The 27,832-nt window shown below is 59.2% G+C and overlaps 2 protein-coding genes and 1 non-coding gene across 7 annotated transcripts in view, besides 23 other annotated features; 1 reads left to right on the forward strand and 2 right to left on the reverse strand.

Annotated features, from left to right (window-relative positions):
• On the reverse strand, positions 638-9,907 carry MGAT4B (alpha-1,3-mannosyl-glycoprotein 4-beta-N-acetylglucosaminyltransferase B). Of its 3 annotated transcripts, none has more exons than NM_014275.5 (15): positions 9,528-9,907; positions 4,825-5,010; positions 4,595-4,735; positions 4,375-4,508; positions 3,948-3,994; positions 3,525-3,638; positions 3,225-3,300; positions 2,995-3,109; positions 2,547-2,677; positions 2,244-2,351; positions 1,969-2,162; positions 1,554-1,632; positions 1,388-1,475; positions 1,206-1,318; positions 651-1,109 (listed from the first exon to the last, which is right to left on the reverse strand). In NM_014275.5, the coding sequence occupies exons 1-15, from the start codon at positions 9,622-9,624 to the stop codon at positions 1,086-1,088; spliced, it is 1,647 nt and encodes a 548-aa protein (NP_055090.1). In that variant the 5' UTR covers positions 9,625-9,907; the 3' UTR covers positions 651-1,085. The 3 variants fall into 3 exon arrangements, with proteins under 3 accessions (NP_463459.1, NP_055090.1, XP_024310117.1); XM_024454349.2 differs by lacking the exon at positions 9,528-9,907 and adding an exon at positions 5,845-9,375; NM_054013.3 differs by lacking the exon at positions 9,528-9,907 and having other exon boundaries at positions 638-1,109; positions 4,825-5,916.
• Positions 1,319-1,387, reverse strand: MIR1229 (microRNA 1229). The gene has a single exon (NR_031598.1). It is a non-coding gene; the product is annotated as a microRNA 1229 (primary transcript).
• Positions 4,921-4,990: a silencer, noted in NCBI's record as "silent region_16739". NCBI's record gives its function as "represses an Ori minimal core promoter by ATAC-STARR-seq in GM12878 lymphoblastoid cells {active_cell/tissue: GM12878}" and the evidence as "EXISTENCE:reporter gene assay evidence [ECO:0000049][PMID:35858748]".
• Positions 8,762-9,181: a silencer, noted in NCBI's record as "silent region_16740". NCBI's record gives its function as "represses an Ori minimal core promoter by ATAC-STARR-seq in GM12878 lymphoblastoid cells {active_cell/tissue: GM12878}" and the evidence as "EXISTENCE:reporter gene assay evidence [ECO:0000049][PMID:35858748]".
• Positions 8,762-9,724: a biological region, named in NCBI's record as "H3K27ac hESC enhancer GRCh37_chr5:179233022-179233683".
• Positions 9,063-9,724: an enhancer, noted in NCBI's record as "H3K27ac hESC enhancer chr5:179233022-179233683 (GRCh37/hg19 assembly coordinates)". NCBI's record gives its function as "activates a minimal SCP1, AML or CMV promoter by ChIP-STARR-seq in primed H9 embryonic stem cells {active_cell/tissue: H9 hESC(primed)}" and the evidence as "EXISTENCE:reporter gene assay evidence [ECO:0000049][PMID:30033119]".
• Positions 9,192-9,321: a silencer, noted in NCBI's record as "silent region_16741". NCBI's record gives its function as "represses an Ori minimal core promoter by ATAC-STARR-seq in GM12878 lymphoblastoid cells {active_cell/tissue: GM12878}" and the evidence as "EXISTENCE:reporter gene assay evidence [ECO:0000049][PMID:35858748]".
• Positions 9,434-27,832, forward strand: part of SQSTM1 (sequestosome 1) — a 31,686-nt gene continuing 13,287 nt past the window's right edge. The window contains exons 1-5 of one of the 3 annotated variants that reach the window (NM_001142298.2): positions 9,434-9,632; positions 14,615-14,723; positions 25,999-26,094; positions 26,899-27,128; positions 27,223-27,364. In NM_001142298.2, the coding sequence (NP_001135770.1) occupies positions 26,046-26,094; positions 26,899-27,128; positions 27,223-27,364 (421 nt within the window). In that variant the 5' untranslated portion in view covers positions 9,434-9,632; positions 14,615-14,723; positions 25,999-26,045. Of the gene's footprint in view, positions 9,633-10,049; positions 10,165-14,614; positions 14,724-23,945; positions 24,183-25,998; positions 26,095-26,898; positions 27,129-27,222; positions 27,365-27,832 lie in introns of those variants that run through there. The other 2 variants (NM_001142299.2, NM_003900.5) reach the window with 2 other exon arrangements.
• Positions 9,452-9,521: a silencer, noted in NCBI's record as "silent region_16742". NCBI's record gives its function as "represses an Ori minimal core promoter by ATAC-STARR-seq in GM12878 lymphoblastoid cells {active_cell/tissue: GM12878}" and the evidence as "EXISTENCE:reporter gene assay evidence [ECO:0000049][PMID:35858748]".
• Positions 9,752-10,311: a silencer, noted in NCBI's record as "silent region_16743". NCBI's record gives its function as "represses an Ori minimal core promoter by ATAC-STARR-seq in GM12878 lymphoblastoid cells {active_cell/tissue: GM12878}" and the evidence as "EXISTENCE:reporter gene assay evidence [ECO:0000049][PMID:35858748]".
• Positions 10,482-10,651: a silencer, noted in NCBI's record as "silent region_16744". NCBI's record gives its function as "represses an Ori minimal core promoter by ATAC-STARR-seq in GM12878 lymphoblastoid cells {active_cell/tissue: GM12878}" and the evidence as "EXISTENCE:reporter gene assay evidence [ECO:0000049][PMID:35858748]".
• Positions 14,466-15,244: an enhancer, noted in NCBI's record as "H3K27ac-H3K4me1 hESC enhancer chr5:179238425-179239203 (GRCh37/hg19 assembly coordinates)". NCBI's record gives its function as "activates a minimal SCP1, AML or CMV promoter by ChIP-STARR-seq in naive H9 embryonic stem cells {active_cell/tissue: H9 hESC(naive)}" and the evidence as "EXISTENCE:reporter gene assay evidence [ECO:0000049][PMID:30033119]".
• Positions 19,723-20,172: a silencer, noted in NCBI's record as "silent region_16745". NCBI's record gives its function as "represses an Ori minimal core promoter by ATAC-STARR-seq in GM12878 lymphoblastoid cells {active_cell/tissue: GM12878}" and the evidence as "EXISTENCE:reporter gene assay evidence [ECO:0000049][PMID:35858748]".
• Positions 20,283-20,352: a silencer, noted in NCBI's record as "silent region_16746". NCBI's record gives its function as "represses an Ori minimal core promoter by ATAC-STARR-seq in GM12878 lymphoblastoid cells {active_cell/tissue: GM12878}" and the evidence as "EXISTENCE:reporter gene assay evidence [ECO:0000049][PMID:35858748]".
• Positions 21,316-22,025: an enhancer, noted in NCBI's record as "H3K27ac-H3K4me1 hESC enhancer chr5:179245275-179245984 (GRCh37/hg19 assembly coordinates)". NCBI's record gives its function as "activates a minimal SCP1, AML or CMV promoter by ChIP-STARR-seq in primed H9 embryonic stem cells {active_cell/tissue: H9 hESC(primed)}" and the evidence as "EXISTENCE:reporter gene assay evidence [ECO:0000049][PMID:30033119]".
• Positions 21,316-22,927: a biological region, named in NCBI's record as "P300/CBP strongly-dependent group 1 enhancer GRCh37_chr5:179245687-179246886".
• Positions 21,728-22,927: an enhancer, noted in NCBI's record as "P300/CBP strongly-dependent group 1 enhancer chr5:179245687-179246886 (GRCh37/hg19 assembly coordinates)". NCBI's record gives its function as "activates an origin of replication core promoter dependent on BRD2, BRD4, P300/CBP, MED14 and CDK7 cofactors, with strong dependence on P300/CBP, by STARR-seq in HCT116 cells {active_cell/tissue: HCT116}" and the evidence as "EXISTENCE:reporter gene assay evidence [ECO:0000049][PMID:35650434]".
• Positions 21,981-22,280: an enhancer, noted in NCBI's record as "active region_23762". NCBI's record gives its function as "activates an Ori minimal core promoter by ATAC-STARR-seq in GM12878 lymphoblastoid cells {active_cell/tissue: GM12878}" and the evidence as "EXISTENCE:reporter gene assay evidence [ECO:0000049][PMID:35858748]".
• Positions 22,271-22,450: a silencer, noted in NCBI's record as "silent region_16747". NCBI's record gives its function as "represses an Ori minimal core promoter by ATAC-STARR-seq in GM12878 lymphoblastoid cells {active_cell/tissue: GM12878}" and the evidence as "EXISTENCE:reporter gene assay evidence [ECO:0000049][PMID:35858748]".
• Positions 22,681-22,840: an enhancer, noted in NCBI's record as "active region_23763". NCBI's record gives its function as "activates an Ori minimal core promoter by ATAC-STARR-seq in GM12878 lymphoblastoid cells {active_cell/tissue: GM12878}" and the evidence as "EXISTENCE:reporter gene assay evidence [ECO:0000049][PMID:35858748]".
• Positions 23,448-24,157: an enhancer, noted in NCBI's record as "H3K27ac-H3K4me1 hESC enhancer chr5:179247407-179248116 (GRCh37/hg19 assembly coordinates)". NCBI's record gives its function as "activates a minimal SCP1, AML or CMV promoter by ChIP-STARR-seq in naive H9 embryonic stem cells {active_cell/tissue: H9 hESC(naive)}" and the evidence as "EXISTENCE:reporter gene assay evidence [ECO:0000049][PMID:30033119]".
• Positions 23,751-24,000: a silencer, noted in NCBI's record as "silent region_16748". NCBI's record gives its function as "represses an Ori minimal core promoter by ATAC-STARR-seq in GM12878 lymphoblastoid cells {active_cell/tissue: GM12878}" and the evidence as "EXISTENCE:reporter gene assay evidence [ECO:0000049][PMID:35858748]".
• Positions 24,111-24,370: a silencer, noted in NCBI's record as "silent region_16749". NCBI's record gives its function as "represses an Ori minimal core promoter by ATAC-STARR-seq in GM12878 lymphoblastoid cells {active_cell/tissue: GM12878}" and the evidence as "EXISTENCE:reporter gene assay evidence [ECO:0000049][PMID:35858748]".
• Positions 24,381-24,560: a silencer, noted in NCBI's record as "silent region_16750". NCBI's record gives its function as "represses an Ori minimal core promoter by ATAC-STARR-seq in GM12878 lymphoblastoid cells {active_cell/tissue: GM12878}" and the evidence as "EXISTENCE:reporter gene assay evidence [ECO:0000049][PMID:35858748]".
• Positions 26,266-26,804: an enhancer, noted in NCBI's record as "H3K4me1 hESC enhancer chr5:179250225-179250763 (GRCh37/hg19 assembly coordinates)". NCBI's record gives its function as "activates a minimal SCP1, AML or CMV promoter by ChIP-STARR-seq in naive H9 embryonic stem cells {active_cell/tissue: H9 hESC(naive)}" and the evidence as "EXISTENCE:reporter gene assay evidence [ECO:0000049][PMID:30033119]".
• Positions 26,805-27,342: an enhancer, noted in NCBI's record as "H3K4me1 hESC enhancer chr5:179250764-179251301 (GRCh37/hg19 assembly coordinates)". NCBI's record gives its function as "activates a minimal SCP1, AML or CMV promoter by ChIP-STARR-seq in naive H9 embryonic stem cells {active_cell/tissue: H9 hESC(naive)}" and the evidence as "EXISTENCE:reporter gene assay evidence [ECO:0000049][PMID:30033119]".

Below are 27,832 nucleotides of genomic sequence, written 5' to 3' on the forward strand. Positions count from 1 at the left end.
AGAGCTGCGGGCACCATGGGAACGAAGTGAGTCAGTGACAGGCGGTCTCAAGGAAATGTCCAGAAGCCTTGGGGATCCAGGGGAGGCCCACAGAAACAAAGAAGTGACTTTTAGCCAAGTATGCAGGAGAAACGGAGAAAGGAGAGCTTTCCAAGGAGGGGCAACAGTGTGTGCAAAGGCCCTGAGGTGAGCGGGAGACCCTAATGTGCCAGAGGAGTGTCGGGGACCCAGGATGAGGACCAAGCTGAGACACACGGAGGGGAACAAGGAGGCTGGGAAATGCCTTCAGCTTGAGGAGCTAAGGGAAGGCCTCATCGCAGGCCTTGGACATGGGGGAGACATTCGGGGGACCTGCTATAGGCATTGTGGTCCCAGATTCTGAGCTGGTTTCACCAGTGACAGACTTTGCGGCCTGATCCTAGGAAGGGGGGTACGCTGGCGCCGAGGTGGCACTGCAGCTGCACAGCCAGGGGCTGGACCCCGCGCCTGCAGGCCAGGCTGGCTCCTTGACTTAGCAGGGAAAGGTCGCTGCTGATGCTGGCTGGGGAGGCCCAGTGCCAGGCTTAGTTGGCATGTTGGGGCACAGACCAAATGAAGCCAACCGCAGGGGCAGAGGGAGATGCCCAGGGCGCTCACATTTGAGGCACACACTTCATTAACCCTTTATTACAAGTCACGCTCTTATAGAAGTATATGTGGACTTACGTGAAAAAATCAAATGTATCCAAGAATAAAAAACACAGCACATAAAGTAGTATATGCATTCCAGTGTTCGCGCCAGAGACGGCGGGCGCCCAAGTAAAAGCTCTTCTAAAACGGCCTGACTGGGGCAGGCCGGGTGCGAACGGTTCCGGGCCTCAGGCACAGTGTGGGGGCCGCCTGCCTCCTCCGCGGCCCGGCGGGCGGGGGCAGCACCAGCTCCTAGGGCCTCCGGGCCAGCGGCGGACCCCAGGCCGGCCCAAGCCCGACGCCAGGCAGAACCCTTTGGGCGGGGCCGTATCTGGCCCTCCGGGGACGGCAGTGACGACACCCCCAGAAATGTGGGCTTCAGGGCTGGCCACAGGGTACCCTCAGAAGCCCGCAGCTTAGTCGGCCTTTTTCAGGAAGATCTGGAAGAGCCGGACCCAGGGTCAGCAGGGCCTCTGAGCTCCGCCAGGGTCTCCCTGGCTGCTCCCCGTGCCTGGCCTGGCCCTGCCCAGCCTCACCTCGCTCAGAATCACCCACACAGGGGAGTCCGTCTGGATCGAGAGGCGCAGTGCTTCCAGAGGGCCGAAGGCTGGGTCCACCTCTCCCTCTGCCACTCCCTTGTAGAAGGAGCCTGTGGGAGGGCAGTGGTGAGAGGGTGTCCCTGAACCCCAGCCCACGCTCTCCCCCAAACCCTACCCACCGATCTGGAGGTAGCCGTCGGGGCTCCGAGGGTACCGGAGGGTGGCGGTGCGGCCCTCCTGCAGGGCCTCCTTGTCTGACTGAGGGTTCTGGGGGCAGAATCAAGGGCTGAGGCAGGTGGTCACAGGAGGCCCGGCTTCAGTGCACACCACACCCACCGAACTTACGTCGAAGGGCAGCACCTCCACAGACGTGTTGAAGAGCTTGTCCTCCGGGTGCTCGATGTTCCCACTGCGGAAGAAGAACCTGCAGCCAGGCAGGCCTGTGAGCTGCTGCAGGGGCAGCGTTCCAGCACAGCACCCAGGGCCCAGCAGAGAAAGGCCAGGCCTGCGCCAGGAGGGCCCCCCAGGCAGCTGTCAGGCTGTGCAAAGAGACCAGGGCCTTCCTCTGGGAGGATGGTGACAGGAAACATCCCTGAGCTCCTAGGGGCTGCCTGACTTAGTCCTCACAAGGTAGCTACCATTACGAGGCCCACTTCAGATGCGGAAACTGAAGAACGTGAGGATAACTTGCCGGTGAAGCCTACACCCTGGGGGCCACCCAGCCCCGCCCCCATCGCAGACCCATGGTGCTGGCACTGACCGCTCCAGTCTTAGAGGTTGGAAGAAGCGGAAGCGGATGAAGTCCCCCGCGGCAGGGGTGAAGGCCCAGAAGAAGTCCTCGCGCAGGTAGGCTTTCTCCAGGGTGAAGTGCTGGTATGTCTTCAGGCTCGTGCTCACCTCTGCTGGCGGGTTCACATGCTCCTTCCGCAGCGCCTGCTTTCCAAAGTCTTTGTCCTGCAGCGGAGGAGGGACAGCAGTGATGGCGTGGGCCCCGACCTTGATCCCGGCCTAGGGAGAGCGTGCAGTGCAGCCCACCTTCAGTTTCTGGATCTTGCCAGCCAGCGAGGAGTGAGTGCCCACGTGCTGGAAGAGGGACGGTTTGAAGCGGATCCGCAGGTTGGCTTTCTGCCGGTCACAGTGCTTCTGTGGAGGGTGGGCAACACCCCAGGGCTCGGCTTAGCCCTCCTTCCTCAACACGGCCTCTCCTGGGGACTACCAGGGCCCTCCCACAGCTGACAGTGCTCTATGTGAGCAGATGCAAGGACAGGGACACAGTTTGGGGTGGAGGCTGCCTGCCCCTTGGCCCTGCCCCTGCCAGTCCCGCCAGCTCTTGCTCACCGCATCCTTCTCGGGGTTGCAGACTTTCACCCACAGAATATGGTCCAGGAGCCAGTCGATGGGCTTGTCCCGGTAGAACATGAGAATGAACTCTACAATCAGGCTCAGGTCCAGCGACTTGAACATCTTACCTGGTGGGGAGGGGCCTGAGTGGGCAGTGCTGCTCTGCCTACTTCCTTTCTCCCTGCAGCGGCCCCCGAGTCCCACAGCAAACCCAGGGGCAGGCTTCAGGCAGGTGTGGGCATAACGGGGCAGGGAGGCAGACAGGTGATGAGGGCAGACATGTCTGATGCACAGGCAATGAGAACAGGCCAGGTGGGGCTGTAGCACGCACACCAGGCAGGGCCCACCTGGGCAAAGGCTCACAGTGGACACAGTGGGACTGGGAGAGAGGATGGCAGAGGCAGGTGGGACTGAAAGGCACCGTCAGGTAAGGGGAGGGGCACACCAATGAAGCCCAGCTGGGAGAACTCCAGGATCATCCAGTCCTCTGAAGGCTGCTGCAGTGCAAAGTTCTTCATGGTGCTCAGGTAGTTGGGCTTGGCCACGATGTCATCCTCCAGCTGCGAGGTGAGCAGAGAGGGGCTGGGGCTGAGGAAGGGCACCCAGATGGACCAGACCCATCGCAGGGCAGGGCGGCGCAGGGCAGGGCAGGGCAACGCAGGGCTTGGGGCTGACCTGCACGTAGTAGATGCCTTTGGACTGCGCGTACATCATGAGGAAGCAGTAATCGAGGTTCTGTTTGGTCCTCCACCTGTGGGCCGGGGCGGGGCCTCAGAAGTTCAGACCCCTCCACCTCCATTGTGGCTCCGCAGAGAAGCCGCTGGGTGGGCAGCTTCTGTCCCCCCACCCCCATGCACGGGTCCTCCCATGGAGAATTCAGGGCACTGCAGGGAAACACCCTGGACTCAAACACCAGTAGATGGGTTCTCAGCACAGGCAGGCGGGTTGCTGAGGGTATGGGGGAGTAACTAGTACCTGACTCTCTCCTTGGGGTCCCCAAAGGACTCTCGGAGGCGGGAGAAGTCAGGGTAGAAGTGGGGGGAGGGTGAGATGACCTCCAGGAGCCCAGAATGGATCTCCGTGGGGAACCTGGGGGACGGGAAGGCCTAGTCCGTATGCAGCCTCCAGGGGCTGAGAGGGGCCGAGCCCACCAGACTGTGGCCCTTTCTTGAGGCTCACCCAGTGCCAGCCCCCCACCACCCCCTACACCCAGCCAACTGAGGTAGCAGAGCTCCAGAGGGGCTGGGCCACTTCTGCACACCCACCCCTCCCCCACCAGGTCCCTGCCTCCCCACGAGATAGGAAAGGCACTATCTCATGGGGAGGCAGGAACCTGCCAGCACAACACCCCGCACCGAGCTCTCCCGCCACCAGCTCTCTGGGGTCGCCAGTACTCACAAGGCCTTGATGTTCTCTGTCACTGCCGAAGTGTACTGTGAGTCAGTCTGTGGGGAGACCAAGCACCCTCCCTTAGCCCTGCTGCTGCCCCAAAAGGCCTGGAAGGGCTTGGAGAAGGGGCACAGGCTTCAGATGCCCCCCACGTGGAGGGAGTGAGCCTGCTGTGCTGAGGGCGGAGTAAGGGGGCCCCCAGAGACGGCCCTTTCCCTTTGGGACTCGCATGGCCAAGGACTAGGGGGTGGCGGGGGCGATGGGTAGGGGTAGAGGGTGCCAGAAAGCCCTTTCAACTTTCTATCTCGGAGCATTTGCGAATGAAACTAGCAACTGAACTTCCGACAGCTTTCTCCTCGGAATGGTTCCTGCTGTCAGTTCTGCACCGCGGGGGCTCCTCTGAATGTCCCCCAACCCCGCGTCCCGGCTCACTCGCCTCGGCGATCAGCACCACGATGACCGAGTCCTCCTTCTCCTGCGGGCTCAGCTCGGAGATGAGCGAGTGCAGAGTGTCAGTCAGGTACGAGTGCACCTCGCGCCGCACGCTCGGGATGCCCATCACCACCGACACTATGGGGGACGGAGGCCCGACGCTGGAAAGGGTGCGGGGGCCACCCGTCCCCCCACCCCGTGCTCCTCCCTGTCTGCGCCCATACCTCCGGTGCGGCCCTGGCCCACGCGCACCGCGGGCTGCAGACTGCTCTCCTTGGCCAGCAGGTGTGGCAGGTGATGGAAGACGGTGGGCAGGTGCAGCACGTGCCGGTGTGAGCCGTTCCACGGCTTCAATCGGGGGTCCTCTGGGTGGGTCGGGAAGGATCGGGACTGAGACCAGGGAACCTACAACCAGCCCGCCCCCGCCTTTTCCCCCTCCCGCCCCAGACCTCACCTGTTAGGCGGCCCCAGGTGCGATTGCCGTCTCCGTCTCGCAGCGCCTGCCTTTCTGACACGGCCCTCTTGATCTCGTCCAGCACCAGGTTGAGCTCCTTGGAGCGCTTGAGGCTCTCCTGCTCAGCTGCGTGCAACCGATCGCGCAGCGCCAGGAACTCCCGCTGGTAAACGTCCACAACGTCGCCTGCAGGTGGTAGGCAAGCCGTCACGAGGGGGCGGTCTAGAGCCACCCTACGGGCCCCTCCAGTGTGCCAGCGCACACATCTGGGTGTCCACCTCTGCAATAGCTCATTGACATCTGTTCTTGTGCCTGCCACACGTGACATAGCTGGGGTCACTCTAAAATTACACTGACACTAATGCTCATGGGGAGAAAACCAGGGGAATTAGCCCTCTTCCAGTACTCTCCCCCACCGGGGGTTATTTTATCCTCTGAGAAGGCATCTGAAGTGGAAATACGATTTCCAGACCTAGGTAGGTGGATCCTAAGCAAGGGCTGGAACAGCCTCAGACTGAATCCGCTCCATCCGTTGGCCTCCAAAGCCCACTCTTGCTTTTTGCAGCACACGCTCCCTCCAGCGGGTGGGCTACCCAAGGTCCTGGTGCTAGCTCTTCACTGTCCTTGTAGCGGTCGCTGGTTGCTCACCCTGCACTGGATTCTTAGCCTCACGATGGCCCCGGGGGGTGGCTGCTGCAGTTCCAGGAGCCCACCTCACTTCATTGCTCAGGTGAGCAAATGAGGTTGAGAAACCGGCCCTGGGGCTGCTCAAGGACAGTCAACAGCAGCGAGGGGACTAGCTCTGAACGCCCTGGTGCCTGTGTCTCTGGAGACCTGTGCTGCGCCTGGGGCACCCTGAAGGGTCCGCATGCCACCCCAGGGGGCCCCTGTCAGAACCTCCAGCTGGGCCCAGGCATGAGGGCTGTAGGTGGATGGGGCAGCACAGAGGTGGGGCTGCCCGACAGTAGAGAGGCACCACCAGTCTGGCAGGGACCAGTGAGCAAGAATGAGATCAACAACCTCCTGGTGGCTCGGTGCCCACAGTCCACGCAGCAGGACGCTCCAGGCCTCTGCCAGGCGAGTCTCTGAAAACCTATGTGGCCTACAAGGCCTTCTGTTTCCAAGTCTCCAAGTTTAAGAAGCCTGACCGAACTCCCTCTACACTCAGGCAGCTCTTCCATTCCTTGATCCTTGGTGGCTTCACAGACCCCAGAGTTGCGTGGGATGGCCTCACCCCACCAGCAGCCCTGTGCATGATCAAGGTCATGATCAGGCAAAGTTCAGTCACCTCAGGGCACACCCCTTTCCGAAACGGGCAGGAGGTCGAAGTGCCAAGTGACCAGGGAAGAGGAAGGGGTGGACCTGGGCAGGAGGGAAAGGTTTAAGGAGCAGGGAGCCAGGTAGATCTTCCCTGAGGCATCTCTTACCCAAGAAGCCAGCCCCCACCCTCCACACCCTGCCTCTCTGGGGCTAAAGGCTGAGGCAAAGCGGAGCCTCTGGACAGCCCCTGGCGGGAGGGAAAGGGGAGTCAGATTACTGGCTCTGCCAGGCTCCACGCTGGGCTCAGGGGCTCGGTTACCCTGGAAACCTAACCCCTTGAATGCAGAGCTGGCTATCCCCAGGGCTCACCCATTGCTGGGTGACACCAGGTGTAGGCAGCACTCGCCCACAGGGATGGGACTGGAGGTGCAGAGGCCTAGAGAGCCATCAGGAATGGGTTCAGAGCCACCTGCACCTGCAGGTGCGCCTCCCTCCTGCCTAGATGCCAGTCCCCGCTTGCCTACTTACAGCCACTGCCCACCCCCACCCCCGAGCCCCACCCTGGCTTTCTCTGTCCCACACGACTGCCTCAGATGGACAGGCTGGGTGGGCAGTGGTGGGTGATGCTGCCTGAATCACCCTGGCAACAGCCTGCGCCTTACCCTCGCTTCCTTCCTAGGGGCCTCCCCTCTCCCCCGGGTCCTGTTTACCAGGAGATAAAGGGCCCCACGGGCTCCCGCCCACACCAACCCTTCTGTCATTTCCCTACACACTGCAGGCCCTGGCCCTGGGCAGCCTCCCCCGCCTGCCAGCTCCTCCACCCGCCTTGCCCTCAGCTTCTCTGACTGTGGGTCCAACTCTGTGACTGCCTCCCCATGGGCCAGGCCCTATGCCAGGGCTCTGCCAAGCCATGCTGGCACCCTATAACCCTCGGGAGCTGGGGAGGCAGCTCAGGTGAGGAGAGGGACCAGCCTGGGAGCCCCTGCCACACTTTCTTGCCTCAGGACCACGTTGTTAAGAGCAGCAGCAATGAGGCCTGGAGGCTGTGTCACCCTCCCCTGGAGGCGAGTCATTAGGACATCCTGGGGCCCACAAACCACAGTTCCCCCTGCTTCCCTCTTGGTTGGGGAAAGATTAAAGAGCCAAGCTGGGGCACAACCTTTGTGCCTTGTACTCAGGGAAAAGGGACAGGCTCAGAGGGGCATAGGCAGATATCAGGCCCGTTAACGGTCTGCTGTCACCATGCATGTGTGTGGCAGGTGTCTGCCTCCTCTCCAGACCCTGCAACCTCCTAGGAGTAAGGGTGTCCATCATTGCTGAAGTCCAGGCCTGGGGAGGCGGACAGCCTGAAGGCTGGGAGCGCTGCATGGCTGAGACCCCGGGCTGCCCCCAAGGGTCTGCCTCCCTGGGCAGATCCTCAGCAGGTGCTTGACCGAGGGCCACAGTTTGAGCGCTGGCAGAGCTGCTGCACGGGCTAGATAGGAAATTGGGCCCCAAACCCTTCTCCAGGGTCCATTTTGCGTTGGTCTAAGAGGCCGTCCTGGGCTTGACCTTGCGTTTCCAGGATGATGCCCACACCTGCTGCCCTTCCTCTCTGGTTCCCTGCCCACCTCCTTCCTTCCCTGCAGATTCCACTTCCTGGGTCCTTCCCTCAAGTTCCTGGACCCCCGCTGGCTGCAAAGTGGAGGCCAGGTTCCAATCTGGCCTCCGACTGGCTACGTCTGGTTTCACCAGGGGTTTAAGACAGATTTTCTACATGTGACAACGAGATGGGTTCACATAAGAGCCCAGATTCCCAGCTTCTCTTGAGGCCTCCAAAGACCTGGTACTACTGGGTCACCACAGAAACAGTGACAGCCCCTCGACAAGGGAGGCCTATGTCACCCCATACTCATACCTCACAGGATCCTTAGGCTTCTATCCCCTAGGGGCTGGGCTCGTGAATCTAAGTGCTCCCCTTCTTTGCTCTCCTGTTCCCCAGGCCCTCAGAGAGCCAGCCTCCTGGATGCCCCCCAGACACAGTGGGTGCCATGGAGCCAGTGCCTCTCCCTCACTCTGCTGTCCTGGAGCCTGGCTCCCTGTGGTAAGCCAGGCTTGCAGAGGTGGCTCCTGACATCAATCCGCGGGCATGTGGCTGCTGCGGGAGGCACACACTGGCTCAGGACAAAGGGCAAGGGCTCACGGCTCTACCCACGACTCAAAGAGCATGCCCCAGCCCTTCAGATATGGCCCCACCTAGGCCTTCATGCCAGTGTGCTTTTATAGTCACCCTGCCAAGGACCCAGAATGTCCTTCCCCAGGTGACACACCCTACCTACAGAGAATTCTGCCCCAGCCATGCCTGCCCTTGATAATATACCCCGCCAGCACGGCCTCTGCCCAGCCATCCCTCCCGTGTCAGGCAGGCTCCCCGCAGAGTCCCTGGGTGATGCCTCTCTGGCCCTGGAGCCCCAAGGCCAGCCCAGGCCTCTGCTCTGGCAGAACAAGTGCGGCAGGCGGGCGTGCTGGCAGAGCTCGGCGTGGGTAGATGGAGCTCGGAGGGTCCGGAAGGGTCCAGGTTCCCTCGCCCTCCTCCGCAGCCTCTCTGGGATGGCGCTCCGGGACAGGGAAACAGGGAAGCAGGTGGCGGGGAGGCCGAGGGGCAGCTGGACTCAGCCCGCTTAGGCCTCCAGCAGGCAGGCAGGCAGGAGGCCACTCTCCCGGAACCTCCAGGCCGGGGGAAGAGCGCCTCCGAGGGCTCAGGCCCTACTCGGCCCCACCATCGCCAAGACCGGCCAGCGGGGCGGCGCGGGGGGATCGGCCCGCACCCTCCGCCTGCAAGAGCGCTGGGCGCACGCGGAGGGCGGGGGCCAGCCCGGGAAGCTCGGGGTGCGGAGGACGGGCTGGGGCCGCACGGGAGCGCAGGGCAGCAGGGGCCGGGCTGCCTCAGGACGCCTCCCTCCCTCCCTCCCTCCCTCCCACAGGCCGGATGCTGCCGACGCGTTCTGGGCGCCGAAGGGAGTCCCAGGACCGGGTGTCACGCCGGGGTCGCCCAGGCCGGCGCGGGGCAGCAGGCAGCAGGGTGGGGGGGTGCCCTCGCGCCTGTGTCCCTCACGCCGCCCCAGCTCCTGCCCAGGTGGCTGTGGCTGGCGTTCCGGGACCTCTGTGACCTTGGGTCTCTGCCCCTCTCCGAGAACCCCACGGGTCCCCAGCTCAGCGTCGGGACAGCTGCGCCCGCGGAGTCCGGTCCGGAGCACCCACGGGCGCGGCCCGGGCCCGAGGAGAACGCCGCGGCTCCAGCAGCAAACAAGTGGGGGAGGGTGGGAGGGGCGTCCTCGCGCCGCCCGGGCGGGGAAGGGGCGCCTGCGTCGGCTTCCGGCCGCCTTCCGCGGCCACCGCCGGGCCCGCTCCCGCCGCCGACGCCCAGGTGCGCCAGGTGCGGGCCGGGCGGGGGTCGCGCTCACCTTTCTGGCCGCTGAGTGCCGCGTACCAGGACAGCGAGAGGAAGGCGCACAGGCAGAAGAGCAGCAGCGTCAGGAAGGTGCCATTGCGGAGCCTCATCTCCTCGGGTGCGCGGCGGGCGCCCGCGGGGCCGAGGCTGCATGGCCCGGGGGACCGGGGCCGGGGCGCAGGGGTCGGAAGGCGGCGGCGGCGGCGGCAGGGGCCCCGGCCCCGGGTCGGGGAGGGGCGGGGGGCCCGGGGCCGGGCGGGGACCGGGCCAGGGAGCGCGCCGGCCGCCCCTCAGGGCGCAAGCTTTGTGCCCTGTACTCAGGGAAGAGGAACAGGCTCAGAAGGGCAGAGGCAGGTATCAGGCTCACTGCAGATATCAGGGGCGCGGGACACTGGCGGCCTCGCCTCCGCGGCAGGGCCGGGCCGGGCCGGGCTGGGCTGGGCTGGGCGGCGAGAGCCGCGGCCCGGCCTGGATCTGGGGCCTGGATCTGGGGCCGCCGCGGAGTCGACGGCGCAGGGCGGGGCGGCCCGGATTTAAAGGGGCCGCAGCACCGCCGTCGCCGGCGCCGCGAGGGGGTGGGGTGGGGGCCGGCGGCCGGGATCCCGATCGGCTCCCGCAGCCCCGCGTGGGCTCGTGCGAGTCGGCCTCAGGTAAGGCTGGAGTGGGAGTGCAGGTCGACCGCAGCCGGGGCGGGGGGCGGGCGGCGGGGGCGGCGCTCCGGGACCCCGGTACCCTTCTCAGCAACATCTCCTCCGCGCGCGGACCCCGACCCCATTCGCACGTTCTCGGGGCTCTTTCCCGGGCGTGAGGGGCTCTGGGTGGCGCGGGGGACTGGGCGGTTGAAGCCGGGAGCGACCGCTGCCTTCGCTGCCGCCCAGGGCGCTTCCCCGCTCAGGAGCTTCCTCTGGGCCTCTGGACGGAGGCGCGCAGGGGCCCGGGAGGCGGGAACGATGGGCCTTTCTAGGCGGTATCAGGGCCGATGCTCGTGGATGCAGAGCAGTGACCAGCCCAGAACCGTACCGGCTTCCCGGGGCAGGGGCGGCCCGAGAGCGCCGCTAACGGGAGCAACGGGCCCTGCCCCCGGTGGTGTAGGGGCCACCTCGCCCCGCCCAGCCCAGCCCGATATTGATGGGGGCCCACGCCTTCATTGTTTTTTTGTTGTTGTTGTTTTTTGTTGTTTTTTGTTTGTTTGTTTTTGAGACGGAGTCTCGCTCTGTTGCCCAGGCTGCAGTGCAGTGGCGCAATCTCGGCTCACTGCACCCTCCGCCTCCCGGGTTCAAGCGATTCCCCTGCCCCAGCCTCCCGAGTAGCTGGGACTACAGGCGGCCGCCACCACACCTGGCTAATTTTTGTATTTTTAGTAGACACGAGGTTTCACCGTATTGGCCAGGCTGGTCTCGAACTCCTGACCTTGTGATCCGCCCGCCTCGGCCTCACAAAGTGCTGGGATTACAGGCGTGAGCCACCACGCACGGCCCATTTGCGTTCTAATTTCAGGCGTTCCTCAATCCTCTGTGGAACCAGGAAGGGCGCAAATTATAAAGGGACTGGCCCAGCGCCGCCTCTGGGCAGGCTTTGGGCAGCGCCTGGCCCGCTGCCGGCTTGGACCTCCCAGACCTAGGGGCCCGGTTCCTGGTGGAGGCTGCAGGGACCTCTGCCCCACCCGCCCGGGGGAGGCCCGAGGGGCTGGACTCAGACTGAGATTGAATGCGGCTTTGTCTTCCTAGTTCAGCCCCGGCCCACACCTGGGGCTGAGTGGAATCGGGAGCTTCGAGGGGTCTGGACAGAGAGATTGATGCCAAGAAGGGGGTGGCCGAGCCAGAGGTTGAAGTGGGCTGGATCCTGAGGCCCCCTGTTAAAGGAGAGGGCTCCCCACTCAGTGCTCCTGGAACTTTCCGAACTAGAGACTGGGACTTATAGGAGCCTTCTAGAGGAAACTGTCGTGTTTTCACAGGTGTCTTCTATTTGTGGCAAAGGATAATGGCTTTTCACTTAGGTTGTGACATAAAGGGCCTTAGAAATTGTTAATGAGTTACTTAATGTTAAAACTTAGTCACCCAGAGGCCGGGCGCGGTGGCTCATGCCTGTAATCCCAGCACTTTGTGAGGCCGAGGCAGGCGAATCACGAGGTCAGGAGATCGAGACCATCCTGGCTAACACGGTGAAACCCCGTCTCTACTAAAAAATACAAAAAATTAGCCGGGTGTGGTGGCTCATGCCTGTAATCCCAGCACTCTGAGAGGCTAAGGCAGGAGGATCATTTGAGCTCATCAGTTCAAGACCAGCCTGGGCAACATAGTGACACCTCATCTCATTAAAAATTTTAAAACAAATTTTTTTGGATTTTTTTGTAATTTTATTTATTTATTTATTTATTTTTAGTTTATCTTATTTTTTTTTTTGAGACGGAGTCTTGCTCTGTCGCCCAGGCTGGAGTGCAGTGGCACTATCTGGGCTCACTGCAAGCTCCGCCTCCCACCTTCACCCCATTCTCCTGCCTCAGCCTCCCGAGTAGCTGGGACTACAGGCACCCACCACCACGCTCGGCTGATTTTTTGTATTTTTATTAGAGACGGGGTTTCACCGTGTTAGCCAGGATGGTCTCGATCTCCTGACCTCGTGATCTACCTGCCTCGGCCTCCCAAAATGCTGGGATTACAGGCGTGAGTCACCACCCCGGCCTTTTTTTTTTTTTTTTTTTTTAAGACGGAGTCTCGGTCTGTCGCCCAGGTTGGAGTGCAGTGGCACCATCTCGGCTCACTGCAACCTCAGCCTCCCAGGTTCAAGCGATTCTCCTGCCTCAGCCTCCCGAGTAGCTGGGATTATAGGCGCCCGCCACCACGCCTGGCTAATTTTTTTTTTTTTTTTTTTTTTTTTTTTTGAGACAGAGTCTCGCTATGTCGCCCAGGCTGGAGTGCGATGGCAGAATCTCGGCTTACTGCAACTTCCACCTCCTGGATACAAGCAATTCTGCTGCCTCATCCTCCTGAGTAGCTGGGATTACAGGTGCACGGCACCAAGCCCGGCTAATTTTTTTGTATTTTTAGTAGAGATAGGGTGTCACCATGTTGGTCAGGCTGGTCTCAAACTCCTGACCTCGTGATCCACCTGCTTCAGCCTCCCAAAGTGCTGGGATTACAGGCATGAGCCACTGCGCCTGGCCCTTTTTTTTTTTTTTTTTTTTTTTTGAAACGGAGTCTTGCTCCCTGGCCCAGGCTGGAGTGCAGTTGAGTGATCTGGGCTCACTGCAACCTCCGCTTCCCGGGTTCAAGCGATTCTCCTGCCTCAGCCACCTGAGTAGCTGAGATTACAGGCGTGTGCTACCACACCCGGCTAATTTTTATATTTTTAGTAGAGATGGGGTTTCACCATGTTGGTCAGGCTGGTTTCGAACTCCTGACCTCAGGTGATCCACCTGCCTCAGCCTCCCAAAGTGCTGGGATTACAGGTGTGAGCCACCGGCGGCGCCCAGCCTAATTTTTGTATTTTTAGTAGAGATGGGGTTTCACCATGTTGTCCAGGCTGGTCTCCAACTCCTGACCTCAGGTGATCTGCTCACTTTGGCCCCTCAGAGTGCTGGGATTACAGGCGTGAGCCAACGCACCGGGCCAACAATTTTTTTTTAATTTAAATTTAAATTTTTATTTTTTAATTTTTTATTTTACTTTAAGTTCTAGGGTACATGTGCACAATTTGCAGGTTTGTTACATATGTATACATGTGCCCGGTTGGTATGCTGCACCCATTAACTCATCATTTACATTAGATATATCTCCTAATGCTATCCCTCCCCTCTTCCCCCACCCCACGACAGGCCCCAGTGTGTGACGTTCCCCACCCTGTGTCCAAGTGTTCTCATTGTTCAATTCCCACCTATGAGTGAGAACATGCGGTGTTTGGTTTTCTGTCCTTGTGATAGTTTGCTCAGAATGGTTTCCAGCTTCATCCGTGTCCCTACAAAGGACATGAACTCATTCTTTTTTATGGCTGCATAGTATTCCATGGTGTATATGTGCCACATTTTCTTAATCCAGTCTATCATTGATGGACATTTGGGTTGGTTCCAAGTCTTTGCTATTGTGAATAGTGCCGCAATAAACATACGTGTGCATGTGTCTTTATAGCAGCATGATTTATAATCCTTTGGGTATATACCCAGTAATGGGATTGCTGGGTCAAATGGCATTTCTAGTTCTAGATCCCTGAGGAATCGCTACACTGACTTCCACAATGGTTGAACTAGTTTACAGTCCCACCAACAGTGTAAAAGCATTCCTATTTCTCCACATCCTCTCCAGCACCTGTTGTTTCCTGGGTTTTTAATGATTGGCATTCTAACTGGTGTGAGATGCTATCTCAATGTGGTTTTGATTTGCATTTCTCTGATGGCCAGTGATGCTGAGCATTTTTTCATGTGTCTGCGGGCCAACAATTTTTTTAAGGAAAAAAAAAAAGTGACTCAGTTGGGCACTGTGGCCTACGCCTGTAATCCAAGTGAGACAGCCAAGTCTAAAGGGGTCCCGCTTTGGGAGGCCGAGACGGGCGGATCACGAGGTCAGGAGACCGAGACCATCTTAGCTAACACGGTGAAACCCCGTCTCTACTAAAAATTAGCCGGGAGTGGTGGCGGGCACCTGTAGTCCCAGCTACTCGGGAGGCTGAGGCAGGAGAATAGCTTCAACCTGTGAGGCGGAGCTTTCAGTGAGCCGAGATCGCACCACTGCACTCCAGCCTGGGCGACAGAGCGAGACTCCGTCTCAAAAAAAAAAAGAGGTCCAGGAGAAACTCCCACACCTGCCTAAGCACTGGAAGAACTGGGTAGAGCCACAGAAGCTCTGCAGGGGGGAGGAGCTTTGCAGGGGGAGGAGCTATGCAGGGGGAGGAGCTATGCAGGGGGAGGAGCATGCAGGGGGAGGAGCTATGCAGGGGGAGGAGCTATGCAGGGGGGAGGAGCTTGGTCTCATGTTCGGGGTGGAACTTGGGATTCTATCTGGGAGGCGAGAAACCAGCTAGCGGGACTCTCTCTCGCTTTGCTGAGAGTCCCTGTTTCCCTTTTTTTCCTTCTTGCCCAATAAATTCCATTTTTCTCACTCTTCAAAGTGTCTGCGAGATTAATCTCTCATGGCCGCTGCACAAGAACCTGGCTTTTAGCTGAACTAAGGAGAAAGTCCTACAACAGTTTGGCGTGCAACATGGGGCTTGAGAAAGGGTGAGTGAGATGCAAACCAAGAAATTTTTTTCCTCTCTTTCTAAGCCTATTTATCTTCGGACTTCTGAGGGGGAGGGGAGGGGAAACCGTGACCCCACCCCCTTGGTCTCCGTGGCCTTTTCCTTACTTCTGGACGGATGGGCGAACGGCGGTTCTCTGTCGCCCAGGCTGGAGTGCAGTGGCGCCATCTCGGCTCACTGCAAGCTCCACCTCCCGGGTTCACACCATTCTCCTGCCTCAGCCTCCTGAGTAGCTGGGACTACAGGCGCCCGCCACCACGCCCGGCTGATTTTTTGTATTTTTAGTAGAGACGGGGTTTCACCGTGTTAGCCAGGATGGTCTCGATCTCCTGACTTCATGATCCGCCCGCCTCGGCCTCCCAAAGTGCTGGGATTACAGGCGTGAGCCACCGCGCCCACCCCTCCATGAAGAAAGTTTTTCTAAATGAAAAATGTTTAGGACGCTCAGGAGAGAAAGAACAGATTAAGGAATGATCTCCACCGCACAGACCTCAAGGCTGTTATGCATGCAGGGCACAGTTCCAGTGCAAATGTCCGCAGGCACGGCATGAGGGCCCCCACTGGGTGCCTCGGGCTCCTTCCAGGGCAGCAGTTGAAGCGGGTCGTACTGCAGGCCTGCAGAAAGGCTGGGGTTCCTCTCCTTTTCGGGTTCCTTCCTGATGGAATCCTAGGTTTTCAGCGGTTCCTTCCTGATGGAATCCTAGGTTTTCAGCAGCTTCCGGAGGCCGCCTGGACTGCAGAAGGCGCCCTGGGCGTGTGTACTTCCACCTCCGCAGGCGCTGGCATCTCCAGGCTGCTTCAGGCCGCTTTGGACCTCACCATCGGTAGCATCTGCGTCTTCTTGAGGTGACTGGAGCCCGTCTATGGTTTCAGCCATTGACTTCTGGACATGGAAGTGTCGAGGCCATTTTTGGCCCCTCTCATATCCGGGAAGGGCTCCGTGCCCAGTAGAGGTGCAGTGCAGCAGCCAGCTCGCAGCAGTGCTCCCGTAGAGCTGATGGCATTGGCAGGAGTGGCGGCTCAGCACAGGGAAGTTCTCCAGTGCCCAGGCCCAGGCTTGCTCTCGGTTTAGGTCCCATGGCACGTGGGGCTCTGGACCTGCCTGCCTCCAAGACAGCTCTTCCAAGGTTGAGGGTTGGAACTCCACAGCCTCAGCCTCCCAAAGCTTGACCAGGCCCAGCCATAGCTAGTCTAGGAAAAGAGCAAATGGCCGTGTTTTTATATTTTGACTTTTGCATTTCAATATTAATTTTTTTGGTAATGTAATGCATTCAAAACATGGTCCCCCCCCCCCCAAAAAAAAAAGAAAAGAAAAAGAAAAAAGCATGTTTCTAACCAGGGGTCCTTCATCTTCTGCAGATGCCAAGGGTGTCCCTGGCACAGTAAAAGTTTGGAAGCCCTGCCCTAAAGCCTCACCTCACCTGGCAGCTGGGTGTTTCATTCATAGCAAATGTTCTGTATATTCACCATGTACCAAACACACATGTCACTAATGATACAAACACATGTGCACTGACATTGACCTCCTCACTGTCTTACTATAGTCCCATCCACAGCCACCTTATCAGAGTCCATGGGACTCTGACAACTTGTAATGGGAAAATTAACCGTGCCTGTAGGGGCCGCCTGGGTAGCGGGAGGTGGTTCATGAGTACCAGGAAAGCTGGCCCTGGGGCAGACCTGGGCAGGGCAGAGCACAGCTTGCAGGACCTAGTACACAGTGTTGGGAATTGAATTTGGGTTTTGACCTTTGAAGCTGTGCATAAAGTCTAAAACAAGAAGAGGAGTGGAGGCTGAGGTTGTATTTGTATTTTAAAATGAGCATTTGCCACACAAAGCCAGGAGCTTCAGACCAGCGTGGTTAACACAGCGAGACCCTCCTCTCTGTGAGAAATTAAAAAAAAAACAATAATAAAAGCCAGGCATGTTGGCATGTACCTGTAGTCCTAGCTGCTCAGGGGGTGAGGCGGGAGGATCACTTGACTCCTGGGTTACAGTGAGCTCTAATTGCCACTGCACTTCAGCCTGGGCCACAGAGTGAGACCTTTTCTCAAAATAAAATAAAATATAACCTTTTGGGCAGGCATGGAAAGGGGCTGGAGAGAATAAGAGGAAACAGAGATAAGCCCCCTCCCTGGGAGCACAAGGGACTCATCCCCAGACATGGCACCACAGGCAAACAGACACTGTCACAAAACTAGCATATTATCTTTCCTAGAAGTCCTTTGTTTTCCCCAAGTGCCCTTTCCCCCAACCTTTTGTTGGTTTACGAGCTCTCAATTCTAACCTCCTAGTACACGAATAAAAATGTCTATCGGGGTGGTGGCGTGAGCCTGTAGTCCCAGGTACTTGAGAGGCAGAGGTGGGAGGATCCTCTGACCATAAGAGTTCCTGACCAGCCTGTGCAATACTGACTCCATCTCAAACAAAAAACAGAAAGCTATACAACTCCGTTTCTCTTGCTAATTTGTCTTTTGTCAGTTTAATTTGCAGGCCCCAGATGCTGAATCTAAGAGGGCAGAGGAAAAGCTTTTCCTCCCTGACATAACCATCCAGGAGAAAGTCTGGAATGGAGGGTCAGAGGGGTAGGGAATGGAGTTAGGAGAAGTAGATAGATTCAGGACAGTCTTTGGAGAATGTACATCACTGAGGTCAAGATGTCCTAGGGAATGGCCCTTCTGGGTTCACAATTCTGCTTCCGTCGGTTAACAGCAACTTAGTCCCTTCTATGCCTGTGGGGATAATCAGTCAGGATAGGCTGGATTATGCTGCTCTAACAACCCCAAATTTCTCTGATCTAATAAAAGTATACTCAAAGCTGTATACCCTTCAAGGGTCCCCTGGGGTCTCTGCTCATTGTAGTTCCTGCCCTGGCTACAGGCATAACCATGTGGAAATCAAAGGCTTTCTTGGCAAAGAGAAAGAGAGCTCTAGAAGCTTTAGCACTGGCAAATAAATAAATGCTTGGCGTATAGGTGATATATGGCTCTTCTGGCTCAGGTCCTTGGCCAGAATTAATCACATGGTCTCACCTCAAGGGAACAGGTGAGTTAAATGCAGAAAAATATTCAAGCTGGGTGAGGTGGCTCACGCCTCTAATCCCAGCACTTTAGGAGGCCGAGGCGGGAGGATCGCTTGAGCCCAAGAAGATCATGGTTGCCGTGATCCATGATCATACCACGGCACTCCAGACTGGGGACCAAAGTGAGACCTTGTCTCTAAAAATTAAAATATTTAGAATGTTTCCTAGCATAAAAGATGTGCTACGTGTGTATTATTACTGTTGCTATTGCCAGAAAGTACAATCAACAGGAACTGCTGGTGGCTTGAGGGGGAGCATATGGTCATAGCTGACTCCCAGGTTTCTGGCTTGTATTGTGACTGTTTCTGGCCTGTATTGTGACCATCACTGCCATCAGGAACCCTAGAGCAGGTCGGGTGTGGTGGCTCACGCCTGTAATCCCAGTACTTTGGGAGGCTGAGGTGGGTGGATCACTTGAGGCCAAGAGTTCAAGACCAGCCTGGCCAACATGGTGAAACCCCGTCTCTACTAAAAATACAAAAATTAGCCAGATATGGTGGTGGGCGCCTGTAATCCCAGCTACTTGGGAGGCTGAGGCACAAGAATTGCTTGAATCCGAGAGGTGGAGGTTGCAGTGAGCAGAGATCAAGCCACTGTACCCCAGCCTGGGCAACAGAGCAAGACTCTGTCTCGAAAAAAAAAAAGAAAAGAAAACCTGGAGCAGGCATGGGGTATACGTCATGGGTCACTACTCTTGGATACAATTGACGAAAACCACAATCAACTGGCTTAAGCCGTTTTATAACCCAGCATTAGGCCAGCCTGGATCCAGGGGTCAGATACTGAGATCAAGCTTTGATCTGCTCAGGATTCCCCCCTCCCCAAGGCTCCTGCTTCCAGATGACCCCAGTGTGCATTTCGTCCGCCAGCGTGGGTCACATGTCCATCCCTGACCAGGGTGCTACAGTGCTCTGGTTGGCCAAGCTTTGGCCATGGGGTTTACCTCACCCTACTTTTACGCAAGAGTATGTGGTGGCCTAACACAGGTGGGGGACCCTGCTTCAATACCAGCCTTTATCCACAGATGACCCCACGCCTTCTGCTCCAGAGCATCAGGGTTATAACACATGGGACACACGGGGCACACATACACTCCCACGCAACATCCACACACCCCACAAAACTACCTGAGCCCACATAGTCAGGGCAGGGACAGGCACAGAACAAAGTGGGTGCACAGGGACTCGCAGGGAGGTCGAAGAGCTGAGTCTCGTCGGGAGGCTGAGGGGGAAGAGCGGGCACTGGGCTGCGAGTGTGCAGAGCTGGAGGTGGGGGACTGCGGTAAGTACCCGTCCTGGGGTGCGGGCCCTGCTGGGAAGCATTGGGAGCAAGAAGGGTTAGATCCTCAAAGGAGGATAATTCTTCCAGAAGGTTTTCTTTGTTTTGTTTTGTTTTGTTGAGGCACCAAGATTGGAGTGCAGTGGCGCCATGTCAGCTCACTGCAACCTCCGCCTCCGAGGCTCAAGCAATTCTCTTGCCTCAGCCTCCCGACTAGCTGGGACTACAGGCACCTGCCGCCACGCCCAACTAATTTTTTTAATTTTTAGTACAGATGGGGTTTCACTCTGTTGGCCAGGCTGGTCTCGAACTCCTGACCTCGTGATCCGCCCACCTCGGCCTCCCAGTGCTGGGACTACAGGTGTGAGCCACCGCGCCTGGCCTCTTCCAGAAGGTTTTCGATGGCAGCAGGTGGAGGGGAGCGAGAGGGCCATCGCTCCTGCTGCAAGGGCAGCCCCTCCACGGGATCCCACACTCCTGACCCGTTCAGTATAGACGGGGTACTCCCGGTGCGGCCTGTCACCGCTCTGTCTGGCGCTGGCGCTCCTAGAGAAGGCCATGCCGACCTCTCCCCCACCTCGCTCCAGATTCCCCTTCTTGAGCTGCTTTTCCCACAGTCCCCCCAGGCGCCACTGAGAGCCTCCCGTCTTCGATGGGCTTGGGGCGCCTGGACCCTTCCGGGGTCACTTTGCCGTCTTCCTCCAGCCCCCCTCCCTACTCCTTGTCGCCGCCCCCCCGTCTTTTCAGGACCTTGCGCACTCAGGCTGGCCCTATGCTTTGGGGTACCCCAGCAGTGCCCCCGGGTCTCCGGCCACCCGGTGACGGAGGGAGGGAGAGGCTGGCGAGGGGGCGGCGCCTTAGGTCCCAGCGCGACCCGCCTCTCAGCCCCTCCCGCCGGCTACAGCCGCGCGGGACGGGGCAGGGACCTCGAGAACACCGGGGACTTGCGGGCCGGTGGCCCCGGGCAGGCCACTTCTGACGCGGGTGCGAGGCCTTCCGCGGGCGTGCACGGTTGGGCCGGAGCCGCGCCGGGGGCCGGGACACGCCTGGGGTCAGCGCTGGCGTCGCCGCTCGGGTGGGGTGGGCCGGGTTCGGGTCCAGTCTCCTCCCCACGGGCGGCCCGCGCCCCGTCTTCCAGTGACCCCCACATCCCTTGCGCCCCGAGCTGGAACTTCGGCAGGTTCTGCCCCGGGCCGCGCGCGCTTTCTGGGGACCAGGGCTGTGGTTCCTGCTCCGCGTCGTGCCTTTAGACACCGCCGGGCGTTCGTCCTCCATCCCTCCCCCCTTTTCCCCACTCCGCGGTTGACGAGGGCCGCCCCCAAGTGGCCATGTCCCCCGGCATGGACGACCCCTCAGTGCCCCTGAGGGCCCAGGGTCTCGCCCCCGTCCCGAGGCAGGCCATGTTTGAATTTATTTGGAGAAATTCGCCCAGCCCAGGGGACCTCTTTCTGCAGCTCTGGCCTTCCAGTAGGAGAGGGTCCCTGGGGCTCTCAGGCCTGACAACTTGGCATCACTGAATTCTCTAACCATGTCTGTCCATGACTTGAACTCCTTTTCTTTTAGAAAGATCTTTGCAAACCCCTTGTGGGCGTGCCCCTCCCATGGCCCCCGTGCCTCTTGCCTGGGCTTTGGGCTTGTCTGAAAGGGCTAAAAGGGGGTGATGCCTGGCCGGGCGGGTGGCTCACGCCTGCAGTCCCAGCACTTTGGGAGGCCGAGGTGGGCGGATCACCTGAAGTCAGGAGTTCAAGACCATCCTGGCCAACATAGTGAAACCCATCTCTACTAAAAATACAAAAATTAGCAAGGCTTGGTGGCAGGCACCTGTAGTCCCAGCTACTTGGGAGGCTGAGGCAGGAGCAGGAGAATTGCTTGAACCTGGGAGGCAGAGGTTGCAGTGAGCTGAGATCGTGCCACTGCACTTCAGCCTGGGTGACAGAGAGAGACTGTCTCAAAAAAAAAAAAAAAAAAAAAAAAAAAAGTGATGTCCAGTGCCTGGGGATTTTTCCTAGGGAGTGGTCAAGGAAGGCCCCGCTGAGGAGGAGACATTTAGGGTGGGAAGTTGCCATGTAGGGCAGGAGTGGAAAGGGTTTTGGACCAGAGGGAGAGCCAGGGAAAAGTCACCAGGTAGAATGAGCTGGCATGATTAGGAAGATGGCAAGGGAGGGCTGTGGCCCTCCCATGTGAGTGGAAGGGAGTGGCTGCAGCGCAGAAGGCCTGGAGGCCCCCGCACAGACCAGGACCTCTGTAGAGGAACTCATCCCCTGTGTCCCCTGTGATTGTCAATCTCCCTAAAGATGGCCCAGAGCAGTGCGGCCTGAATCCCTCAGTGGCCTTGTCTCTGGCTGCCCCAGCACCCACGCGGACACTTGACTCCACGCCCCAAAGAAAAGAAGCGAACCTGGGAACACCACTGCCAAGGCATAGGATTATTTGGGAGGGGGGAAGGGGGAACTGAGGAGGTGGTTACAACATGCTGGGCAGCAACAGACAGAACCAGACCACCCCTGTGGCTGCCCCGGCTGGTCTCCTGGGACCACTGGGCGCTTGGCTCAGGCCTCTCCTGCCCTCCCCACTCTTCCACCTCAGCCCCCCTGCAGTCTCTGTCCTGCCCTGACCCCCCAGCTTACAGCCCCAAAAGCAGCTAAACAACTCGCACACCCACGGGGCATCGCCTGGGAGGGCAGCCCAAATCCTTCCACTTCAGCCCCATTTGAAAGATGAGGAAATGAGAGGCTGGTCCATAGTGGGTCTCGCGGCTCAGGTGCCGAGCCTTCCCTGGGCATGCACGCCGGGCCCTGGAGGGTGGGAAGGGGCCAGTGGACGCGGGGAGCCTGCGGGGTGGGACTGCATCGGGAAAGGGGAAGGAGTCAGAGGCGAGAAGGGGGAGAGTGTCTGTCTGGCTCCAGCCGCTGCACGCTCTTCCTGCTCAGGGGACTCACGGTGACCCCGGAGCCACTCCCCAGCCCAGCCTCCAGGTAAGAGGTCACTGAGATGGGTGGCAGCAGGGGCCGGGGATCCCCCTATTACGACAGCGGTCATGGGACGCTGACTCACTGCCGGCCAGACCACCTGACCTCCGCGGCGGGAGGAGAGGGCCCTGCCAGGGGGTTCCCGCCGCGCCTTGTTTACCTCCGGGAGGCCTCGGCCTCGCGTGGGGGCAGGGCGGCCGCTGGGGCCGCAAGGCGTGCGGGGAAGGGCCAGAGCCGGGTGTCCACCCCAGCTTCCCAAAGACTCCCTCTTCTGTGCTTCCTTCTCCCCTCCCCGCCCCCCCCCCAGTCTCTTCACATGCCCCTAGCCCCCGCGGAAACTTCCCGCGATCCCAAACGGGCCAAATGGCGAGAAAGCAAAGGAGCTCCTTCTTGGGGGTGAGTGGGGCGCCTTGAGCGCTTCCTCAAAGCTATGTTCCCAGAGCCACAGGCCTTCCTTGTGTCCCTCACCCTGCTCAGACCGGGCCATAGCCGGGGGCTGGGGCAGGAAAGCCGGCCCTCGGCGGGGGCCACGTGGCTCTCAGGCGCCTGGGCTGCTGAGTCACGCTTGGCCAGCACCTGTCTGTAGGCCACAGCCTCTGCCAGCACGCCCCTCTGTGTCCCCTGCCCCTGTCTGCAAGGCAGTGGCTCCAGCAGGCCCTGGGGCATTTTCCACTCTCCACCGCCGGATGCAGGGAGAGGCCTGAACCCTCTCCACAGGGCTGCTCTGGGCAGGGTGGAAGCCTTGCCCACTTCGGAGCCCTCCGGGAAGGATCATTCACACCTGTGGACCAGCCCCTGCTGTGCGCACACCCACACATCACCTTCGCACCTGACTGGCCCCATCCAGCCACTCTTGCCTCCCTCTGGGTTTCCTCCCCTGGGAGGTTTCTCCAGCTCCTGCAAGCCCTGGGCTGAAATGGCATGAGTTGGACCCAGCAGGTTCTGACCTCCTACTCACAGGACCTTGCCTGGGAGGCTCCAGAGGGTGACCACTCGTCCTGCCCCTCTCCTTGCCCCAGTTCTGGCGGACAGGTTACTCTGGTGGCATAAAGCAGTGTTTCTTCCTTCCTAGCTGAGGAGGCTGTTGGCTGACCCCCTTGGCTGCCCACAAGGCCAACGGGCCTGAGCCCCCACAGGGCCATGGGCATTACCTGCTGAATTGAGGAGCCCATAAGGAGTCACTTGGACCACAGTGAACACTTGGCGACCACTGACACTCAGGAGACCTTAGCTGGTCCTCCAGCACCTCTCAACTCCACTCCTACTAAACTGGGAACTTCTCTGGTGCTCAGGCCAGAGTCGGGGTCCGTCACCGAGTATGCTATGCGCTGCCCATCACCGAGGATGCCATGCGCTGTAAGAGGGCTGCCACCGCGGCAGGCTGACCATGGCAGGGTCGGAACAGCAACCTGAGAGCCAGCTTGTTCTGGCCAGCAGTGCCCACTGGGCGACCTAGCAGCCTCCTGATATGGGGGCTGTGTCCCCCTCTCCCTGCACTGGGTACCCCCAACTGAGGATATTGCTGAGTCATGGCCAGGCCCAAGCCTGGGAGGGGCGAGGGGCTGGACCCCCGCCAGTACCCTGATCCCAGGTGCAGAGGCTGGAGCCCAGGCCTGTATGAGTGCCAGGGCCGGTTTCCTGGGGTCCTTGGTGCACCGGGGCAATGAAGAGAGGGGTCAGCAATGAGGGGGCCGGGAGACCTGGAGCGAGGGGTAGCGGGGAAGGGGAGAGTAGTGAAGGGGCCTCTGCAGGGCGGCTCTCGCGCCGCGACGACGGTGGCGGGGGCGGGGAGGGCGCGAGAGACTCCGCCCCTCTCGAGGCGGGGCGGGGCCTCCGCGTTCGCTACAAAAGCCGCGCGGCGGCTGCGACCGGGACGGCCCGTTTTCCGCCAGCTCGCCGCTCGCTATGGCGTCGCTCACCGTGAAGGCCTACCTTCTGGGCAAGGAGGACGCGGCGCGCGAGATTCGCCGCTTCAGCTTCTGCTGCAGCCCCGAGCCTGAGGCGGAAGCCGAGGCTGCGGCGGGTCCGGGACCCTGCGAGCGGCTGCTGAGCCGGGTGGCCGCCCTGTTCCCCGCGCTGCGGCCTGGCGGCTTCCAGGCGCACTACCGCGGTGAGCGGGCCGGGGAGCGGCGGGGGCGGTGACGCAGGCCGGACACGGCCTCCTGCCGCGGGGTGGCTGCCCCCTCCCTTCTCGGCGACGCCTGGCGGGCCGTGAGGGGGTCTGCGCTGGCTGCTCCCTGGATGGCGGTGGCCTGCATGGGTCCCCAGTTCGGCCATGGGAGCCGGCCTGGTGACTGGAGTGGTGACCAAGGCCGGGACCCGCTGCTCAGCGTCGGCCCCCTGGGGCGGTGGAGCCCTGCCGGCCGGGGGCTCGAGCCTGGGGGCGTCAGACGCCCCGCTCCACCCCCCGCGCTGTTGGGGATTTTGGCAAGGACGCGCCGGGGCGAACGCTCTGGCTCTCCGCGGGCACTGGGTGGTCAGGCGGGCACTCGGGTTACACTGACACCTTGCTGCGCCAGGTGGTGGGTTCAGATAATGCCCTGGAGGAGCCGGGCGAGCGCCGGCGAGGGGAGGGAGTGACGCGGGTAAACAAGCGCGGGGGTGCGGGGGACTCGCGAGCGCCGCGACAGCGCCTGGGAGAAGGGCACGGATCGCCGGCGGAACGCTCCGAGCCAGGTCGAGTACAGATGTTTTCCCATTGGCAAGTGGACGAGAACGTTCTTCAGAAGTGTTGGTGTTGGCACAGAAGCCCTGTTTCCTGCTGCGCTGGTGTGACCAGTGGCTGCTGGGGGTGGGGTTAGGGAGGTGGTTGTGGCCAGGAGGGCGGGAGGTGGCCAAGGCCGGCCCCTGGGAGGGTGCAGTGCTAGGACCTCCCTCTGGAGCGCTGCCAGCATACCAGGCCCTCTCCTATTCTTAAAAAAAAAAAAATTGTGATGTTATTGAGCTGTAACTGAAATAAGGGTTCACCCATTTAGTGTACAAGTCAGTGGTTTTCACTATTTTCATAGGTTTGTGGACCATATTCAGTGTGAGAGCTTTTCATCACCTTATAAACGCCATACATACCTTTTATCACCCTCTTATCCACATGCCCCCAGCAACCTCCTTTCTGTATCTATTCATCTTGCAATCCTGGACATTTCATGTAAATAGAATCAGACAATGTAGTCTTGCAAGTGGTTTCTTTCACTTAGTGTAATGTGTTCAGTGTTGTGGCACATATCAGAACTAGTTTTTTTTGGAGGAATAATATTCTGTTGTGTGGACAGGCCATGTTTTGTTTACCTGTTCATTAGTTGACAGACATTTGGGTTGTTTGCATCTTTGGGTGCCTCACCTGTGCCCTCGGTGGATGGCGTGGTTTGGTCTGCACAGCTGTGCTTTAAAGCCATTTCAGCTCATATGTATCTGTCACAAATGGAGACTACATACAAATACGTGTCTTTCAGCTTTGTTAGGGAAGGAAGCAGGCAGATGCCCTTGTCTTCTCCTTTACTCCCAAGCCACTAGAAGTCTAAGGCCTTTGTGGGGCTGGGCCCCTCAGGAGCAGGTCACAGGCAGGGATCTCCCACAGTTGAAGACGGACATGGGCCTGGTCGGATGGGGAATGAGGTGGCACGTTTCTGAAAAGGCAGCTGGCCCAAGGCTAAATAAGTGCAGCAGCCAAAGCTGCTGCCCCTGTGCACAGGCCCTCCGCCCCCTGCATGTGGCTGTGGTCCAGGGCCCAGGTCGGAGCACTCACCTTCCAGGAGGTGCCAGAGCAAGGGGGTAGTCTTGCCTCTCACTCCTGCCCTCTGTGGCTCAAGTAGGTGTGTTTGTTTATAGCCCTGTGAGTGTCCCTTTCATACTTGCCTCAGCCCATTCCAGCAGCTTATGTCCAGCTGAGAACCCCTGGGTGCTCACGTGCTGTCTTTTAAACAATCTAGATGAGGACGGGGACTTGGTTGCCTTTTCCAGTGACGAGGAATTGACAATGGCCATGTCCTACGTGAAGGATGACATCTTCCGAATCTACATTAAAGGTAAGGGGCTGCTCTGGGGGCTGCCTGAAGCCAGCTCAGCTTGTACTCAGTTCCCTGCTGAGTAAAAAACAGGGCTCGATGTTCCACCAATGAAGGGGTCAGCAATTTGAGGGCTGTTTAAGACAGAGACATAGGCCAGGTGTGGCTCACGCCTGTAATTCCAGCACTTTGGGAGGCCGAGGCGGGCAGGTCACCTGAGGTCAGGAGTTTAAGAACAGCCTGGCCAACATGGTGAAACCTTGTCGCTACTAAAAATACAAAAATTAGCCGGGTGTGGTGGTACATGCTTCTAGTCCCAGCTACTCAGGAGGCTGAGACGAGAATCACTTAAACCTGGAGAGCGGAGGTTGCCATGAGCCGAAATCACATGACTGTACTCCAGCCTAGGCGACAAAAAAAAAAAAAAAAAAAAAAAAAAAAAAAAAAAGACATTTTAAGTGCTGTGCCTGACCTGAGAAAGAGGAGTCCATGTTCACTCTAGGGATGGGGTCTGGTGCCGTGGTGCTTGGGTTAGGGATGGGGTCTGGTGCCGTGGCGCTTGGGTGAAGGGCAAGGCCAAAGCTGTGCAGACAGGGCTCCTTGCTGCTGCTCTGCTGCCTGGGCCAAACAGACACAGGGACTGGGAACCTCCTAGCAGGTTCTTGGTGGCTCTGCTGCCCTCACCTAAGTGGCTGAATTTTGTGTGGATTCCATGCTGGAGAGCAGGGCCGGGGGCCTTGCTGGCAGTGACAGCCCCACAGTGACGACAGAGGGGGAGGACTTTAGGGGGTCCCACCCTAGCGGCTCTCTTTACCCTTCCTGTAGAGAAAAAAGAGTGCCGGCGGGACCACCGCCCACCGTGTGCTCAGGAGGCGCCCCGCAACATGGTGCACCCCAATGTGATCTGCGATGGCTGCAATGGGCCTGTGGTAGGAACCCGCTACAAGTGCAGCGTCTGCCCAGACTACGACTTGTGTAGCGTCTGCGAGGGAAAGGGCTTGCACCGGGGGCACACCAAGCTCGCATTCCCCAGCCCCTTCGGGCACCTGTCTGAGGTGAGCAGGCCCTCTGTGCAGGCCTGGGGTGGGCTCAGGGTGGCAGGAACCTTGACCCGCTCACTGCCTGCCGCTCTGCTAATTCCTCCCCCAGGGCTTCTCGCACAGCCGCTGGCTCCGGAAGGTGAAACACGGACACTTCGGGTGGCCAGGATGGGAAATGGGTCCACCAGGAAACTGGAGCCCACGTCCTCCTCGTGCAGGGGAGGCCCGCCCTGGCCCCACGGCAGAATCAGGTGAGGCTTGTGTTGGAACCTGCTTCTGATTGGTGACAGTAGTCAGGCAGCCTGTGTGCAGGGCCCTTGTGCAAAGCGTGTGTGCAAGGCAAGAATTCAGGATACCCCCCACCTTCCTGGTGCCCTACAATCACACAAGAACCCTGCAAAGTGGGGTGTATTCTCTCCATTTCCCAAATGGGGAAACTGAGGTGCCTAAGTGCCTGAGGCCACAAATTTACCTGCACAGCCCTTCCTACCTCAGGAGGCTGCCCTCTCAAGGTACCCTGAGGTGCAGGCAGGGAGGCCCTTCCAGCCCAGGGGTCTTTGATGCACTTTGTTCTCTTTTGTGATGGTTGTCAGGAAGATCAGAGCCAAAGTTGCTGAAGTCCTTTGAAACATAGTTATAAGTGAAAGACTTACCGTTAGCTTTGTAGTCTAGATTTTTGGATTCTGATTTTATTAATGTTACTGTGTCCTGTGAATCAC

The sequence above is a fragment of the Homo sapiens genome, chromosome 5, assembly GCF_000001405.40.
Source record: "Homo sapiens chromosome 5, GRCh38.p14 Primary Assembly".
Lineage (NCBI taxonomy): Eukaryota > Metazoa > Chordata > Mammalia > Primates > Hominidae > Homo > Homo sapiens.

Excerpts from the sequence above, each read along its gene's own strand:
- MGAT4B (NM_054013.3), bottom strand. The coding sequence starts at position 5,152 with ATGTCACGTGTGGCAGGCACAAGAACAGATGTCAATGAGCTATTGCAG. Across the intron at positions 2,163-2,243 it reads GCAAGATCCAGAAACTGAAG|GACAAAGACTTTGGAAAGCA; the intron begins GTGGGCTGCACT and ends CCTCCGCTGCAG. Across the intron at positions 1,476-1,553 it reads TGGAGGTGCTGCCCTTCGAC|AACCCTCAGTCAGACAAGGA; the intron begins GTAAGTTCGGTG and ends TTCTGCCCCCAG.